At 37.2% G+C, this 18,393-nt stretch overlaps 1 pseudogene, besides 2 other annotated features; it reads right to left on the bottom strand.

Moving 5' to 3' along the window:
- Nucleotides 347-1,532, bottom strand: TMEM248P1 (transmembrane protein 248 pseudogene 1; annotated as a pseudogene).
- Nucleotides 12,435-12,729: a silencer, noted in NCBI's record as "tiled region #1143; HepG2 Repressive non-DNase unmatched - State 23:Low". NCBI's record gives its function as "represses a minimal TATA promoter and a strong SV40 promoter by Sharpr-MPRA in HepG2 cells {active_cell/tissue: HepG2}" and the evidence as "EXISTENCE:reporter gene assay evidence [ECO:0000049][PMID:27701403]".
- Nucleotides 17,055-17,349: a silencer, noted in NCBI's record as "tiled region #14356; HepG2 Repressive non-DNase unmatched - State 24:Quies". NCBI's record gives its function as "represses a minimal TATA promoter and a strong SV40 promoter by Sharpr-MPRA in HepG2 cells {active_cell/tissue: HepG2}" and the evidence as "EXISTENCE:reporter gene assay evidence [ECO:0000049][PMID:27701403]".

The raw sequence follows: 18,393 nt of genomic DNA on the forward strand, positions 1-18,393 counted from the left end.
ATCATTGGACCAACTTCCAAATTGATTTTTATAAAGATGTACAAATAGGCTAGGCGCAGTGGCTCACACCTGTAATCCTAGCACTTTGGGAGGCCGAGGCAGGCGGATCACGAGGTCAGGAGTTTGAGACAAGCCTGACCAACATGGTGAAACCCCATCTCTACTAAAAATAAAAAAATTAGCCGGGTATGGTGTCACACACCTGTAATCCCAGCTACTCAGGAGGCTGAGACAGGAGAATGGCTTGAACCCCGGAGGCTGAGGTTGCAGTGAGCTGTGATCGCGCCACTGCACTCCAGCCTGGGAGACAGAGTGAGACTCCGTCTCAAAATAAATAAATAAATACATACATACATACAAATAAGTTACAGGCACTTTAAATGTCTTTGGTTGGAATAACCCAACATTGTAAGATAATGTATTACAGAGTGTCCAGGCCCAGGCTGGGTTCAACAGGCAAGGATTATGGTTCTCTCAGTCTCTCTCAGAAAACAAGAAACTGTGGGATTAGGTGTCAGCCAAAGCTGTCTTCTCAGGACAATATTTAGGATTGCTCTGACACAATTTGTTGGGTCTGCCTTTGATAACAGTATAGCAAAACACTATTATCACCATCATGAGGAGGAAGTAACTGGTATGCATTAGATGCAAATTTATTAATGAACAGTCATCATCTGGAGCAATAACTGTATGCTTGGGATTAAAAACATGATAGTCTTTTTCAATGGGCCTTTTCTAACACCAGAAAAGACTGTAATCTTGAGCGTATTCTGTGTTGGCCTTTCTGTCAGTTCTAAAGATCTTGCACCAGAGGGTGGCATTGCTGTATGTGTCAGAAACACGGTGCGGTGGCTGCACAGTGATGGGGAACACACCCGGGCTGTCCGTGAGGATCATGCAGGCTGTGAACACCATCTGCTCATGGTGACCATCAAGAGCACAGCTATCTGATGTCCAAGCTGCAGGCAGAGTAAAGGTAATATTTACCTCTTCGTGGGCTTCTCTGTCGGAAAGTCCAATCTGATGACCTAAAATGACTGAATACAGATGAGTGATGCCATGAGAGTACCCTCCAAATAATTTGAGTGGGTCCAGGGTTAGGGTGATTTTGACTGAGATGTTAACTGGGCCTGAATCCTCCAGGGCCTGGGAAGACCTGGTGGATGTTCTGGCGATGCTCTGGCCTGCATGGTCATTATGCTTCCCAAAGTTTTGGTGTCATTTTTGAGATGCCTTAATGTTTCATTTTCTGGTGCACACAAGTCCAAATCATTAAACCATAGCGGAAAAGTATTCCAATCTTCTGCCATTTCTGGTGACTTAATCTCCTTGATTTTGAAGAAACAGTCCAGGGTTGGGAAAGCTATGCCATGGTGCCCACAATGATCATAAAGACCAACAAGGAGGCTGACCGATGATGTATACCTTCAGATTCTCCTGGGAGTTGATGTTAAAAATTATTCTGATAAGCTCCACCCAAACTTGGCTGGCACCTGTGTGCCTGCAGGCCCAGCCAGCCAGCTGCTCGATGGTGTGCACCAGTCCCAGGGCCACTGGGCACCAGGCTCCCCACTGTGCTGGGGGCAATGTCCAGCCGGGTCCATAGGGCCAAGGTGAGGACCAGAGACCAGCTGAGTTCCTGAAGCTGCAACACGGGGTCTGCTTGACTCTTGTAACCACATTTAAATATTCTTAAAAATTGCTCAATCTTGAACTTTCCCACAGAAGTTCCTTTGTTGAATGTCTTTAATTAAATGTAATGAATATAACCTGTTATATTTTAGAAAGTTTTAATAGAGGCTAAGATGTCTGCAGGACAAGATAAAGTTAAATTAAGTAAGGAATATGAGACATAGAGTTACAGTAGGATAGAAAATAGTAGGATAGAAAATTAAGAGGTAATATGATGAGGTGCATAAAAGACAGTATTCACGTGCTAGATGTAGATCACGTTTTTATCTCAAAGCCTTCTAAACAGGTAATGTGAAAAAAGAAACATGATTTATGTCAGAATGTTCAAAAGTTGAAATCTTATTTGTGCCACCAGCAAAATACAATGTGGGATTACTAATTCCAAGATATGAGAGAAATTTTTCTTGTGGTCTCCATCACTAAAACAATAGTAACGTCCTTGCAATTTATAAAATCTTTGTAAAAGGAGATTTTTGGTAAACACGTTGGTTGCTTAGGGTACCTTAACTGAAACTTTTGGTTAAAATATTGGTTATATAATTGCTTCAATATTACTTTACAGTTGACCCTTGAAAAACATAGGGGTTAGAGATGCTGACCCTCTGCTCAGTTGAAAATTCATGAACAACTTTTGACTCCCCCAAACCTAATTACTAATAGTCTACTATTAACCAGAAGTCTTACTGATAACACAAATAGTCAATTAACACATATGATGTGTATGTATTATATAATGTATTCTCACAATAAATTAAGTTAGAGAAAGGAAAATGGTATTAAGAAAATCATAAGGAAGAGAAAATATATTTACTATACAATAAGTGGAAATTGATCATCATAAAGGTCTTTCGTCCTGGTTGTGTTCACACTGAATAGGCTGAGGAAGAGAAGGAAAAGAAAGGGTTGGTCTTGCTGTCTCACGGGTGGCAGAGGTGGATGAGGTGAAGGAGGTGGAAGAAGAGGCAGGAGAATTAGGTATACTATGTGTAACCTTAAAGAAATACATTGTAATTTCTAACTTTTTTCTTTTTCATTTCTCTAAAAATGTTTCTCATGGTACCAATAATCTTTACACCATTTTACTTTAGTTTTAGCACTCACACAGAAAAGTCCGTGTGGTAAAAGAAGTCCAAAGCAGCCCTAAATAATCAACCCTCTGCCAAGTTGTCCAATGTCAATTTGTTTTCTGGCACTGCTTCTTCTATGACTTCTTTCTCATCACCTGGGACTGGGTCGGAAATACTGATCTCCATCAAGTTCCTTCTGTTAATACCTCCAGTGTGATGTTTATTAGCTCTTGAATTTATGTAAGATCCACATCTTGAAACCCTTTCCTCCCTACTTTTTTTTTAGATATATCCAGAAGCTCTTTCATGATTTCCTTGATTGGCTATGTTGTAAATCTTGTGATGTTACAGAATTTTCTCCAGCAGAAATTTATTGTTTTGATCTTGATAACTTTCATGACTTTTTCTATCACAAATGTGGGCATCTTCACTGGTGTAATTTTCCAGACTCGTGGTCTCTCAATCGTGTTTCTCTTCCACAGCTTGGACAATCTTTTTTATAGAGTACCATTTATTATGAGCCTTAATAATCCTTATGACCCCTTGATCTAGAAGCTGAATTAGAGATATCTTTGGCAGCAAATAGACTTCTTTGATGCCTTTGATGTTGAACTCATGGGATTCTGAGTGGCCAAGGGTTTGTCTAATCAAAAGAATGCTAAAAGGCAGCCCTTTACTAGAAAGGTACCTTCTGGCATCAAGGACAAAGCATCAATTGAACCAATCCAGAAAAATGGTTCTTGTCCAGGTCTGCTTGTTGTAAAACCAAAAGACTAGCAGCTGGTGTTTATCTTTCCCTTCAAGGCTTGGGGGTTTGCAGCTTTATACAAAAGGTCAGTCCTGATCGTAAACTCAACTTCATTTACATAAAACAGTAGAGTTAGCCTATCCCTTTCTGCCTTAAATCCTAGTGCTCACTTCTCTTCATTATTAATATCCTTTAAGACATTTTTTTCCAGAATAGGGTACTTTTGTCTACATTAAAATCCCCTTCAGGTCGATATCTTTTCTCCTCAATACTTTTCTTTGTGGGAATTCATCTGCTATCTCTTGGTCAATAGAAAGTGCTTCTGCTGTTATTTTGATATTTTTTAAGCCAAACTTATTTCTAAAACTATTAAATCATCCTTTGCTGGCATTAAATCCTCCAGCTTTAGATTCTGCACTTTCCTTTTGCTTGTCATAAAATGACTTCGTTTTTTATCAAATCATGTTAGAGTCCATCTAGGCTTTAACCATATTAAAGTCTAAAGACTCTATCTTATTGCTATAAAGAAAGAGCATTTCCTATTGCAATCTTGTGTCCACATAAAAGCTACATTTTCAATATAAGATAATAAGATATCTTGCAAAAAGTACAAGGTTTGTTCACCTGCTGGCATAGTTGTAGAAAGGGCTTCATGTATCTTTTTTTTTTTTTAACAATGATCCTTACCCTGCATTCATTTATCTTGAAATGGCAGGCAAACACAACTGCAGACCTCAATTTAAAGTATATGTCAAGCAATTAACCTTTTTTCTTGCAATTTCATGACTTTCCTCTGCTTTTGGGAGCAGTTCCTGCATCACTAATGGCACTTTATTTTGAGTCCTATCATGTTATTCAAGGTTTATGATATTGCACTAAACATGGCAAATATATGACTATAATGAGAGATCTCTTTTTACTGTGATAAACAGTTTACTGTAGTGAGGAACTGCTCACATAGAGACGATTAACATCACAAGGTATTTTCAGCAGATACTCACAACACTTCGACTCACTGCAATAGCAACAAGATGTGGCTACAAAATTATTACAGTAGTACAGTATGTATTGCAGTTAATTTTATGTGGTTTTGATTTAATACTGGATCTTTACATTTGTTTACATTTCTCTGGACTGTGAATGAGGTCATGTATTGTCAATAAGTGTGTGTATAAATTTTGATAAATTTTAACTTTTGTAATAGATTTGTGCGTATTTTATGGTAGTAAAGGATAAAATAGAATAATATCTACATATATTTTACTCATTCATGACATATCTAACTTTTTATTTTTTTAGTTATTTCTAGGCTATGAGGTTTATCTGTGAGTTTTTTCAAATTTTCTCAAGTCTCCTGAAAATTTTCTAATATATTTGTTGAAAAAGATCTGTGTATAAATGGTCCTGCGCCATGAAAATCCCTGTTATTCAAGGGTCAACTGTATTTTGAAGAAAACCTTAGTGTTAATATAACAGATCTCTAAAGGGGCAATGATAAAATGTGTTAAATAAAGTAAAAGGGAAGATTGGACATTAAAATAGTAATTGGAATTAAACCCATCTTCAATGTACTGAGAACTGTGGCTCAGAAAACACCGGAAGTCACAATCTTTGGAAAAGAATAGACGGAAAAACCTTAACAAGTTATTTCTTATGGCATAGGTAGCCTTTTGCCCAAATCATAAGGCAGAGGAATGTTCTCCTGGGAGCCCACTTAGGGAGCGAGAAAAAGACAGAGCTGAGAATCAGGCTGGGACAGATACGAAGATAATACTGTACTTGGGGTTTATACCTCAAAAACATGTAGGGAGGAATAAAGGCAGCCAGAAACCAGAATTTAGTGCAACACTGGGAAACTGAAAGCAACAGGAGTGGAGTCATGGGATTTCTGTATAAGCAGAGACAGCCAGCTACAACTTAGTTTTACAGTATAGTAAGTGAATAGGTAAAGCCAAGGAGACAACAAAGCAGTGGAATGGAAACAGTAGCAGCAAAATTCCTTGAATTAGAAAAAGAACTCAAATCTAAAGGAAGTCTTAAAAACATTTTCAAGAATTACCTTTTTAGAGTTATTTCTCTCAGAATATGATCACCTTGGCAGTAACAAGCTTGGAATCCCCAAAAAGGATGAATAAAAAGCACCTGAGTACATAAATGCATAAATATGAAACAAAAGGAAAATAGGCAGAGGTCAGATTTCTATTGTAAAATATTAACCTATAATTGAATCTTAATATTTGTCTATTTATAGGTAGCTTGGGTGAAATTATACAAGTCACTTTGTGTAGGGAAGAGCTAGCATTTACTAGGAGAAAAAAAACACTTCATTTTACGTTTGCAATTTCATTTAAACTTTGGAAGAATGCTGATTCTGCATCTAAATCGCAGGACTATTAAACAGCTTTCCTAAGGCCTCATATCTATGTGAGTCAGTCTTGAATCTTACTTCCACTTCCCTGGCTGACTCCTCTCCAGGGCACTCCTTCCCATCACAAGTTGACTTTGGGTCTGGACACAGCATTGTTGCAACAAGAATGTAAACTAGAGCAACTGCTGTGCTTTGAATCCTGACTCAGCCACTCATGCCTCTCTAGGACTTGAGGCATGTTAGTTACTTTTCCTGCATGTCAGTTTCTGCATCTGTAGAGTGGGATGACAGAACCTGCCTCACAGTCACAGAGGGAGGATGAAATGAGATAGTGAAAGTCCAGCACTTCTTTGGAGCTCGCAGGACTACCATATCTTAAAGTTCCCATTAAATAACTGGACAGGGGCAAAGCTGCAGCACAGTATTACAAGCACATAGTAAGCACTCAATGTGAAGTTACTGTGATTCAAACAAAGCAAAATGGATATTTTTGACAATATTTATTGGCTACATATGACATTATTATAGCTCCTTCTACAAAAAAATGCAAGAAATCTTTGCATCCCACCAAAAAATAGCTAAAATGGGAATTTCTTATCATTATAATTCTTCATTTCAACTTTGTTTAATTATATCCTAGACAACAAGGGATTTAGTTTATTTTCTTTAGCTATTCTAGTAAAAGCTTCACATACAAATGTTCAGTTTCATTCACAGCTAATATTTTTTTCAATAAATAACATAATACTTCTTTTACAAAATACAGTTAGAATCTATATTTGTCTGGCTTATCATAAGTAGTCACAATTCTTGCTCCACATTCATTGAAGTTAATACAAAAACTTGTCAGAAAACCAACAATCTAACCACAGTAAGTTATGTAGATTTTAAAGTCATGTAGATTTTACCAAATATTTCAACCCCCCTTAACATAAACTTTTATAAAATACATTCCGGGCTGAGCATAGTGGCTCATGCCTATAATCCCAACACTTTGGGAGACTGAGGAGGGCAGATAACTTGAGCCCAGGAGTTCGAGATCAGCCTGGGCAACATAGGGAGACCCTGTCTCTACAAATATACAAAAATTAGTCAGGCATGGTGGTGCGTGACTGTAGTCACAGGTATTTGGGAGGCTGAGGTGGGAAGAATGCCAGCACCCAGGAAGTTGAGGTTGCAGTGAGCTTTGATTCACGCCACTGCATTCCAGTCCAGCCAGGGCAAGGAGAGTGAGACTGTTTCCAACACACACACACACACACACACACACACACACACACACACACACACACTCTTAAATTCTTTTAGTTTTACCCCTTTAAGATCTCCCTGCAACTGCAACCTCTTTCTTCTGTCTTCCCCACACAGTCACATCCAATCCTTCCTATTTTGCACAGATTCTCTCCTTAGTTTAAATTACCTACTCAGGAAAACAAACTCAAAAATTAGCTAATTTTTAACGAAAGCCACTGAGAAAACAGCTCAACTGAAAGAAAGAGCTGAGTCCCTTGTTTCTTAAACGTTGCCTTCCTGTTCTCACCCTGAGAGAGGTCATCTACCCCAGTGAAATCTTTGTCAGAAATAGTTTCAATGCTTGAGAGATACTTGAAGCTACCTATTTGTACGTTTTGACCACTCTGTGCCCTTTCTCTCTACCTGAGTGTTCCTCTAGACTAAAGTAGTCTCAGAGTGGGGCTAGCAGGCCCTCCATGATGTCTATGCAACCCTCTGTCCCTGACCTACCAGCAGCCAGCACAGACTGAGGCAACAGTATTCAAATAGGATGAAAAGATGTTCATAGCTTATTTGAATGTTAAGTGTCTTTCTTTATGCAGTTGCTTTGTTGTTTATGTTGTCATAGAATAAATAGTATGGTGGTTTATTTTTGTTTCTTTTGAAAAGTGCATAGTTGATTTAATGTATATTCATGTTTCATAATGTATTCTCTGATATGTCTCTCTATACATGTATTCTCTAGTCTCTCTCTATATATTCTCTCTCTCTCTCTCCATATATATATATATGCCCTTCTGGCACATGTGGAGGTTACTTTATGATCTTGGTATAGGGGAGATGTTACAATGTCATGTTTCTTAAGGCTTTGATGCTGTCTCATTATTTTTACCTAGACAATATATACTCTTTTCCAGAAACATATGCAAATGCAGGCTTCTTTATGAACCCTTCCTTTCCCTTCCTGAGACAAGTTAATCAGCCTCTTCTGAATTGCTTCTATTGTTTGCTCCTCAAAGGCATTCCATATTGTTCTAATATAAATTTTCTTCTCCCTGACTCTTACAGAGGTATTCCTGTTGCATAGAAAACTACTTGCCATATAGAACATGAAGTATTTATGTTAATTGAATATATTGAAGCCAGTGAGGCAGATTACTGGTTTGATTTTTCAGATATTAATTTTGATAAGCAGTGGTTTTGCAGTTGGTTTTTAACCAGATAAACAAAAATGTATTTAATGCAGATGGGCACAAGTGAACAACACTCATGATTGGATTTGCAAAACAAAAATCTCTATGTGCACTTTTTTTGAAATCAAGGCAAACCAAAGGATTTTTTATAAATATTGTTATTCTACTAGAAATTACATCACTTTTCCCCTATTGCTATGAAATTTAGTGGTTTATATTGTTCAGTGTAGATATGTTATCGTAGAAATTATTGTTCTGACTTTCCTCAAAACTAGCTTTGTGAACCCATGTGTGTGTGCGTGTGTGTGAGGGAGTATACAGAATAGAATTAATTCTTGTTCAGTGATCGCATTATAGAAAGTGCATTGAACAACGGCTAGTGGCAATTATATGTGTGCATGTAAACACAGCAACACACCAGCCCTGGCCTCCTTCTGGTGCAACAGGCAGTGTCATGACTTTACTATGTCCAGTGGAATTAATATTGGACATGTGTAATTCTATCATTCATCACTGTTTCTCTTTCTTAGATATGGTAATAGAGTATATTATTTACTATAAAAAAATTTAAATTAACACCTACAAACTGTTGCAAAATAATTGAAGAGTACACCAATTAACCTTCCTCCCATTTTGGAGTAATTTCTTTAAGATAATTTCTGTCTTCTAAGTGGTTTAATTCATTTTGCTCGCAACCATTTCAAGAGCAGGCTGTTGTCTTTATAAAGCTCTCTAAACGGGCTCCAAATTTGTGAAAAGAAGAAAATGTCTTTACAATTATGAATATTTCTGTAACTTTCAAGAGATTCTTGTGTTATTTGCCTCATTTCCCAAAGTGTTAGATGGAAGTGAAAATTACTCCCTACTAATAATGCCAACACTATAATTCAGTTACTTTTCTATGCTCGAATAATTATCTGACATTAAAATTAAGAATAACCGACTTGATCTCACTTAACTTTATGTTCGGGTCTTTCATCTTGTGCACTGATGACAGCTGGAGTCCTGAACTACTCTGCAATATTTCCTTCAAAATACCAGCACTGAGGTATAGTCTTCTGACAGTTAATAAAGACAGGAACATGGCATAAAAATCCTCTAAGACTTAATCACAATTGGATAGATAGCAATAAAGTATTCTAAAAATGTAATAAAATGTCTGTATTGATGATAACGAACCTGGAGGTATTTTCTGGAGAGAAGAATTGTGTTCATAATTACTCCTCAAATGTATTAACTTTTACTTCTTGGGGATTCTAATGGTATTGCTGATTTTGTTAGCTTGGTTTGACTTTGGGTTTTACAATTTTTTCCTTAACTCCCTTGTCTGTATTGAATATTCTTCACTCCATCCTCATCATCACTGTCCATCATCATCATCACTGTCCATCATCACTGTCCTAACCAACATCACTGTCCTAACCATGATTGTAAACAGTAGGACTAAAGAGAAGGAAAATATCCTTCCTTTCATTTACACTGCTTACTTTTATATGCAACATATCTCTTACATAGTATTTTGTTTACTGAAAATGGGCAGTTTTAAGATAATATGAAAGAACTTATTTCCCTTAAGATTAAATTATATGAAACTGTTGAATCTAAATTCAGGCTTTATAATCAAGCTAGAGGGAAAAATACTCCTTCTGGAGTTCAAGTTTTTGGCAGCACTTTAGGATGGGACTGGTGGCTGTGATACTGGATAGCTACTGAACAAGAAATAACATCACTTAGAGTTTGGAACCCAGTGCTAGTTTGTGCCAAATTCTTTGTCTTCATAAATATTTATGAGTGATTTCTGCCATCTCGTTAGAATGTAATTCAAAGACAACAGGTGCAAGCAATGATTGCTCAAGCTAGGCCAACTAACTTTGTTATTGTGTTCCAAGTTTTACATTTAGAAGAATCTGTAGAGAGTTGTCTCTGTGACATCTTTGCTTTATTGATTTCATTTAAAAGATGTTGGTTGGGCACTTCTAAATTTCAGTGACCTGCTTCCAGTGAGCTGCAGTCTAGTTTGAAAAACAAATGCTAAAGGAAAAATTATACAAGTAATCCTTTAGTTACATTTGGGAAGAGTGTCATGGAAGAAATATAGAGTGAACTGTGAGAGTCTGCCTCATGCAGACTGTTAAAGAAGGTGTACTGGGACTTGCAGAATGAGTCGGAGTTCACTAGGCCAAGTGGAGCTGAAAAGGAATGGAGGGAGACCACTCAGGAGAGATTCAGATGCCTGGGTTAGGGTCTTGAGGCAGAATGGCACTTGCTCCTCCTAAAAGCAGAAAGAAGACAACAGTGGCTGGGGCACAGTGAGTCAAGGAGGGAAGGTGAGACTAGCAAAATAATCAGAAATGAGATCTTAAAAAGTTTTGTAAGTCATGCTAAACAATCATATTCATCCAAGGCATTGGACAAATATCTATTGATGGCTTACTGTTACTGTGTGCCAAGCACTTTTCTAGGTGCTGGAAATATGGCAGTGATTGAAAGAAAAAAAAACACTCTTGCACTTAAACGACATTAGGGAGACAGGAAATATGTAAGTGAGTAAATATATGGTAGGTCAATAAGGGTTATGGAGAAAAATAAAATAATGAGGATATAAAATCGCAAACATGGCCGGGCGCGGTGGCTCACGTCTGTAATCCCAGCACTTTGGGAGGCCAAGGCAGGCGGATCACGAGGTCAGGAGATGAAGACCATCTGGCTAATATGGCGAAACCCTGTCTCTACTAAAAATACAAAAAATTAGCTGGGCATGGTGGCACACACCTGTAGTCCCAGCTACTCCAGAGGCTGAGGCAGGAGACTCGCTTGAACCCAGGACAGGAGGTGGAGGTTGCAGTGAGCTGTGATCGTGCCACTGCACTGCAGCCTGGGTGACAGAGAGACACTCCATCTAAAAGAAAAAAAAATTGCAAACAAAGGGGTGCTATTTTACTAGGATGCTCAGAGAAAACCTTATTATAAAGAGACACGTAGGTAGATAATTGAAGAATGTGAAAACTGAGTAACATAGATATCTTGGAAAATGATGATTCATTAAGCAGGAGTTTTCAGTCTGGCCTCCCTCCTAGAATTCAGGTAGCCTATGAACTTGATTTGGAAAAAAATATGGAAATATTCCTCCCAATAACCTGTATGTGAAATTTAGTGTTCCCTTCAATTTTGAATTTTATCAGTAATCCACAAGAGTCCTAGCAGCACCTGTAATGTTGGTACTTAATTTACAGATATTGTATTTTATATAACAGTGTTAAGATACCCTGAAATATCATTTACTGTCATCTCTATTTTGGCATTATGATTATTCTTAGATGTGCTGCTAGATCTCAGTTTGATGAATTAATTAAAAAGCATATATGTTACTATAAAAATTTGCTTTAAAATCTTTTTGATACTTTTGTTTCAATAGAATTGATTACATTTGTAATTCTGTGAATTTTGTATGCATTATGAAACATCTTTCTGAGAAACCTCTATCTGCTTTACCTCCTTCCAGGAAGGGTCCGTGGTGCAGAAAATATGAAGAGTCTCCATGTTAGAGGGAATAAGGAGAAAAGCCCTGATATAAAAGTATACTTGATATGTTCAAGAGACAGCTCCGAGAACAGTGAGGAGGAAGCAGAGGGGTAGGGCAGGAGTGGTGAAAAAAGAGAGCAGGAGGTAGAAGGCAGATCAGCCGATCGTGGCAGGGCTTTGCACCTGCACAGTGAGAGGTTATTAAAGGGTTTAAAGTTAGGGAGCCAAATTAAAAACATTCAGAAAGCCTAGTGATAAAGAGAAATATTAAAAACTAATTAATACCAATAACATTTTACCTAACTGAGCTAATCGCCTTGCTCCCTATGAGAGCTATGAAAATACATTGCTTTCCTCCAAAGCACTTTGCTTGTTAAATCAAATGTTTCAGGGTCAAGGCTGTGCTATATTTTATCAGTTGAAAATTAAACCTTGTGAATTAGAATACTATCTAGAAACAATTTCCTTCTCTGTTTTCAATTTTCTACATGCTGAGCTTTCTAAATTTGCATTTGCTTTTTTTTTAACCAATAAAGTCACATCCTTTTCTCTTAATTTATGTTACATCTGCAATATCAGGGTTTTCAAGTGTAAGACTTGAAGTTAAATGGCAGCATTTACTGTCTTACGTACTAGGAGAGAAAACACATGTGTTTTTATCAGCTCTGCCACTGTGTGATTTTTAACACTGCATTTGTCTGGCCAGGCCTGCCCGTACTTCTCAGTGTTGCTCTGTGACATCTCATCCTCCCGCTCACATTCCAATCGAGCTGCTCATTACCCTCAGAGTGGATTCCAATGGATGTTTCTTTCTTGTGACATGTGAAAAATCATTTTCATTCCTATTACACAAACCTTTCTAAGTTACCTCTTCAGGTTTATTTACCAGCCTCTTATTTTCTCCCTCCAGTCAAGAAGAGCCTGGTTTTAACTGCTTTTTTTAAAAAATTATAAATCTGATGTTATTTCCGTTATTGTTCCAATAGAAAATTTATTCTTTTAGACTTTTCATAGATTCAAATTTCAATACATTTTCTTAAATCACAATTTATACTTTTTTCTTTCCATGATATGTTTGATTTGTTTATCTTCCTCAATTTACTTTCTTGATACATTATTTTCTTTTTTCTTAGCTGATATTTACAGAACTGCTAATGACATTTTTTTCTAGGATAAAGAAATAGCTTTTAAACACAGAGAGAAATGAAAGAGTATAATGATTTGCAAAGAGACATTACTCAAGTTTTCTCTTGGCAGCTAAGAATTTTGAATGGGCTTCTTAAAATTGAAACAGCAGCTTGGGGACCACAAACTTGGCCATAATAATGATTATTTTTGTTCGCTCACTTATCAAATATTGAATGAGTCTTTACTATATATTAGGCATTGTGACAGATATTTTGGGACACAGAAATGACCATGCTTGGCATGATTTCTTGCCTTCATGGTACTTGTAGTAAAAAGGAAAAGGTAAGCATTAAGAGAAATTATATTATGCTCAATTATTACAAGTTTAAAAAATTTTTCAAGCCCTAAAAGCTTGGTGGAAATGCATGTAAGAGGAAATCAGCATGACTTCTCTAAGGAGATGATGTTTACAGTGACCCCTGAAGAATGCATGCTGGTAACCTAGGTGATGGGAGTGGGGAACATTTCGGGCACATGAATTGGCATTTTTATGCATTATGACTAAAGCTGAGAGACTGCAGGGGGCAGTGTTAAGAAATGAGACTGAAGCATTAGGCAAAGCCAGATCATGGAGGTCATTGTAGGCCATATTAAGCATTTTGGATCATGTTTCCATGGGAAGTGGGAAGAAAATAAAGAATTTATAGCATAAATTTGAAGCTTATGACTTGCATTTTATAAAAGCAATGTATTGAAAATAATATGTGAAATAAATTTAAGAAATAAAAGAGTAAACCCTGGCATATTTTTGAAGGAAATAATTTCAGTGGTAGCTTTTAAATGAGACAAGAATGAATTGTACTTACTTAGGCAATATAAGGGAAGCATAAACAATAGAAACCAGTAATAGATTGTGTATGAGATGAGGAAAAGAAAGGAAATAAGGATGGCCTAGAATATTGGACTAAACAGTTGTATGGGCAATAGTGCTTAGTACTGAGCAAGGATACACTGGAGGAAAGCAGTTTTGAGTCGTGTTGAGCTTGAGACGTTGGTGAGAAACTCAAATGGAGATCTCAAGTGGTCATTTAGGTATATGAACCCGGAGCTGACTTGTCTGGGTTTAACACAACAAGGAAACATAGAACATAGAGACAATGAATGAACAAAGCCATGGCTTTGAAGACAGTGAGCCCAGGAAAGGGCCCAGAAAATGGTTATAGGCATTTAACATTCAAAGTTGGTGAATGTGTGGATGAATGAAAAATGTTCGTTTTGTCAGGTTCAGTTGAATCTGGCGTCTTACACAGGGATCAGATACAGGCAGGGGCATGTGACTTTGCTCTGCATTAAGACTAAATAGAGTATTGTCAGAGAGTTTCAAGTTCTTGAACTGTCCAGTAACCACATGTCTGGGGTGCAAACCTGAGAGGGGTGGAGGCCCATGTGAGCCACATGAGAGTGCTAGTTCCTGGAGATTCAGTTCTGTCAATCTAAGACCCAGATGGGGAAGGCTCGTGAAAAACACTGGAAAAGTTTACCTCATTATTGAATCTTTTCTTCCTACTGGATGACTGATTTGGGGAGGCCTTCTCTAAGTTGTCCAAGTCTCTAATGCAGAAAAAAAATGTGGTAAGGAAAGTAGAAGAACAAACTCACTGTCCTTTCTGCTGCACCACAATGCATATTAAACTCTGGCTGGAGGCTGGGCACGGTGGCTCACGCCTGTAATCCCAGCACTTTGGGAGGCGGAGGCAGGCGGATCATGAGGTCAGGAGATCAAGACCATCCTGGCTAATACGGTGAAAACCCATCTCTACTGAAAATACAAAAAATTAGCCAGGTGTGGTGCCACGCGCCTGTAGTCTCAGCCACTCAGGAGGCTGAGGCAGGAGAATCGCTTGAACCCAGGAGGCAGAGGTTTCAGTGAGCCAAGGTCATGCCACTGTACTCCAGCCTGGGCGACAGAGAGAGACTCTGTCTCAAAAGAGCAAGCAAAAAAACAAACAAAAAAGAAACTCTGGCTTGCTTTGATATCCAGAATGACAGAGGAACCAGAGTCAACCAATGTACTAGCAACTTCATGTGTTGAAATAAGCAAAATTGCCTGATCAATCTTTCTTCCCCTTAACCTGTAAAACCCAATTGAGGGCTTAAAATTTAAATAGAAATTCAATTTTAATAAAATTGTACCTCTTTGATACTTATTTATCATTTCTATGTTTCTTTCTTCTATTTTTTAAGATATTCTGAAAGCATTAAATGTTGGCCGAAGGGAGCGATATCTGAAATATTCTAAATACCAATCAACTTAAAATCCATTAGTACTTATAACTGACTTCTAAAGAATGAACAAAAGGCCACATGGTGGCTCACGCCTGTAATCCCAGAACTTTGGGAGGCAAAAGAAGGCGGTTCACTTGAGGCCAGGAGTTCAAATTCAGCCTGGCCAACATGGTGAAACCCCATCTCTACTAAAAATACACAAATTAGCTGGGCGTGGTGGCATGCATCTGTAATCCCAGCTACTCTGGAGGCTGAGGCAGGAGAATCACTTGAACCTGGGAGGCAGAGGCTGCAGTGAGCAGAGATCACACCACTGCACTCCAGCCTGGGTGACAGAGTGAGATTTGGTCTCCAAAAAAAAAAAAAAAAAAGAATGAACAAAAAACACTGCCAAAAATTGATGAATAAATCTGGGATAGATACTGGAGGCTTTTCGTAGGCATTGAGGGAAACTACATATTAGTAAAGTTTGTGGGGTTGAAAGGGTATTGGCTCTTTGGTATGCAGTTGCAAATGTTTGCATGATTAAATTCATGATCATTTAATGTTAAATTATTAGGGAAAATAAAGAATGGATGAGGGAAAGAATAACAATGATAAATTAATTATATCTCAGCTCCTTTCTTAGTGTTTAGTAGTTGGTTATCTTCGTGGGCACATACTAATTTTTTTTTTCTTGTGACTTTCATGGACTTGTATTAATAATATCTAGGGAAAATCTTTCATATACATTAGAATATATTGCTATAATTTCAATTTATTTGAACTATTTAGATGAATAAGAGGAAAGAAAACTGGAATTAAGTGTACTCCATGACCAACTAAGAAGTATCTAGAAATTAACTTATTCAACCATTCCACATTTTCTTATTGAGCGTCTGCCACTTGCCATGGCCGGCTCTCTCCTCATGCTTGGAGTGCCATAGTAAACAAAACAAAGTCTCTGCTCACATGGGCCTTACGTTCCTTTGAGGAGAAATTGTTAATAAATAAGCACAGGAGAAACAAGTAAATGTATAGAGTGTATCAGTGATGCTAAGGGCTATGAAAAACATAAAGTGGGGAAGTCCATGAAGATAGAGTAGTGTGTGTGATTTGATAGTCATCAAAAGTTACATTTGAGCAGAAGCCTGATTAAAGGAGAGAGGGAGACTTGCCAGTCTTGGGGAAGAGCATTCTAGGGAGAACATCAAGAACAAAACATCTAAGGCAGAAACATGCTTTGTTTGAGATGAGCAAGGCAAAGTGCCCTTCATACTCATCACGCCCTTGGTCAATTTTTGTTTTCTTAACACTGACCTGTCCTTAAGCAAACACTTAGAGGAAAAAATGAATTATTTAAGTAATGAAATCATTTTTATAGACACAGATATGATAGATTGAATATGTAATACTCTTTCTGACATAGGTGAGTATGAGAGTGTGTTTCTTTTTCAAATTATGCAATTATGCTTTTCAGTATAATGTTCCATTGAATGTTGGTTCAACATTCAGCAATCATCATGATATAAAATGTGTCTCTATTTCTGTGGTTCTCTTTAGAGTGATTTATTCTCAGAGCTGCTCTGCAAAATGAAACACATTCTTTAATCCATGTAAATACAGAACAATGAAGTTCTATACACCTTCAGTACAGTTTGTGTCTGAATTTTTCAGTCCACAGAGCCTGCAAAATGTATTGGGCTATGGAATGGTGGACTTACTACTGATTCCAAACTGTTTGGAACTGGAGATTTTTCTCACAGCTGTGGCTAGGTATCTGGTAAGTGGTTTTAAGATCTGATCAGCCTCAATTCCTGAAACAGTTTCTTGCTTTACTGCCTTCCCCTGCCTGCCTCCATATCATGAAAAGAAGTACAACTTTCTCTTCCTGTTAGTCTAGCTGCTTAAAAATAACACATTCCAGCAAGGAGGGAGGGAGATTACAAGCAACAGGACATATGAGACTTGCCAAGGGGCCAGCATTTCCTGGCTCACAATTGCAGGAAAGGCTTTGCTCCGTTATCAATGGGACCTGGATGCTTTGATAGGCAATTGTTTTAAAAGCTGAACAACATTTGCAGTTGAAATATTGTGTGTGTGATACAAGTCTTGTGTGGAGGAAATATAGCACCAGATGGATCGGACAATAGTCTTGTCTGATGTTTTGTTCTTTTTACTGGTAATAAAATTAAAAACTCAAGAAATGGCCGTATGCAACTTTGCTTTTAATAAAGTCTCTGTTGTTTTAGAAAAGAATGGTGTAACTGTCATGAACAATACAGATTTCCTTTTCAATAATTGTTGATTTTAAAATGTACTGAGTTAAAATAGAAATTGACCAGAAACAATAGAATGGTTGTGACACCATGATCATTTTGAGTAAGGACATTCCTTATGAAGCACATTGACTCCATCATCTCCAGCTAGATTAGAAAAAAAGATTGACTACTTAGAAATATACTCCCCCTTTAAATAAAATAGAACCATGACATCCAAACAATTCCTGCTATTTAAAGAATATCTTGACTAAGAGTGTTTTGTTCTTGATTCTGGCTCCTAGGGAAGTTATATAAATAAATAAATATATATATTTATATATGTTATATTTACATTATATAGATAGTTATATAGAGAATGTAAATTATTAAATTTTATTTTTATTAAATATATGTATACACATATATGTTCTCCCTTTCCCATAAAATTCATTAGTTGTGAGGCTCTTTCTGGAGTATGGATCAGGAAAATAAACTGTAGGTGTATGGTAAATAGTAGGTGCTAAATAAGTATCCATGGCTTCCACCTCCTCTCCATTGTTGTTGATTATACTGAGAATTCTGATAGTGAAATTGCTTCATGAATCAGTATATATAATGTATACTAGCAGAAAGTGACATTATGATATCCCAAAATAAAGCAAATCATCCTGTAGAAGCTAGTGTTTGAGAAAGTCTGTCTATATTTTTTGTTTTGGAAATTTGATCCGGTGTATGTATAAATCTCCTTTTGCCCAAATCTTTCAGAACATCCTGAATTCTGAAGATCCTACTTAAGTAGCAAAACTTCACATTTATAATATGCTTAAGTAAATGTATAGAAAATCATTCTATAGTCCTGCCATAATTCTTCTTTGATATATCCTGGAGCCCTTAGAGGTTAAACGTGGTAGGTAGA

Source organism: Homo sapiens, chromosome 4 (assembly GCF_000001405.40).
Source record: "Homo sapiens chromosome 4, GRCh38.p14 Primary Assembly".
In the NCBI taxonomy this organism is placed as follows: domain Eukaryota; kingdom Metazoa; phylum Chordata; class Mammalia; order Primates; family Hominidae; genus Homo; species Homo sapiens.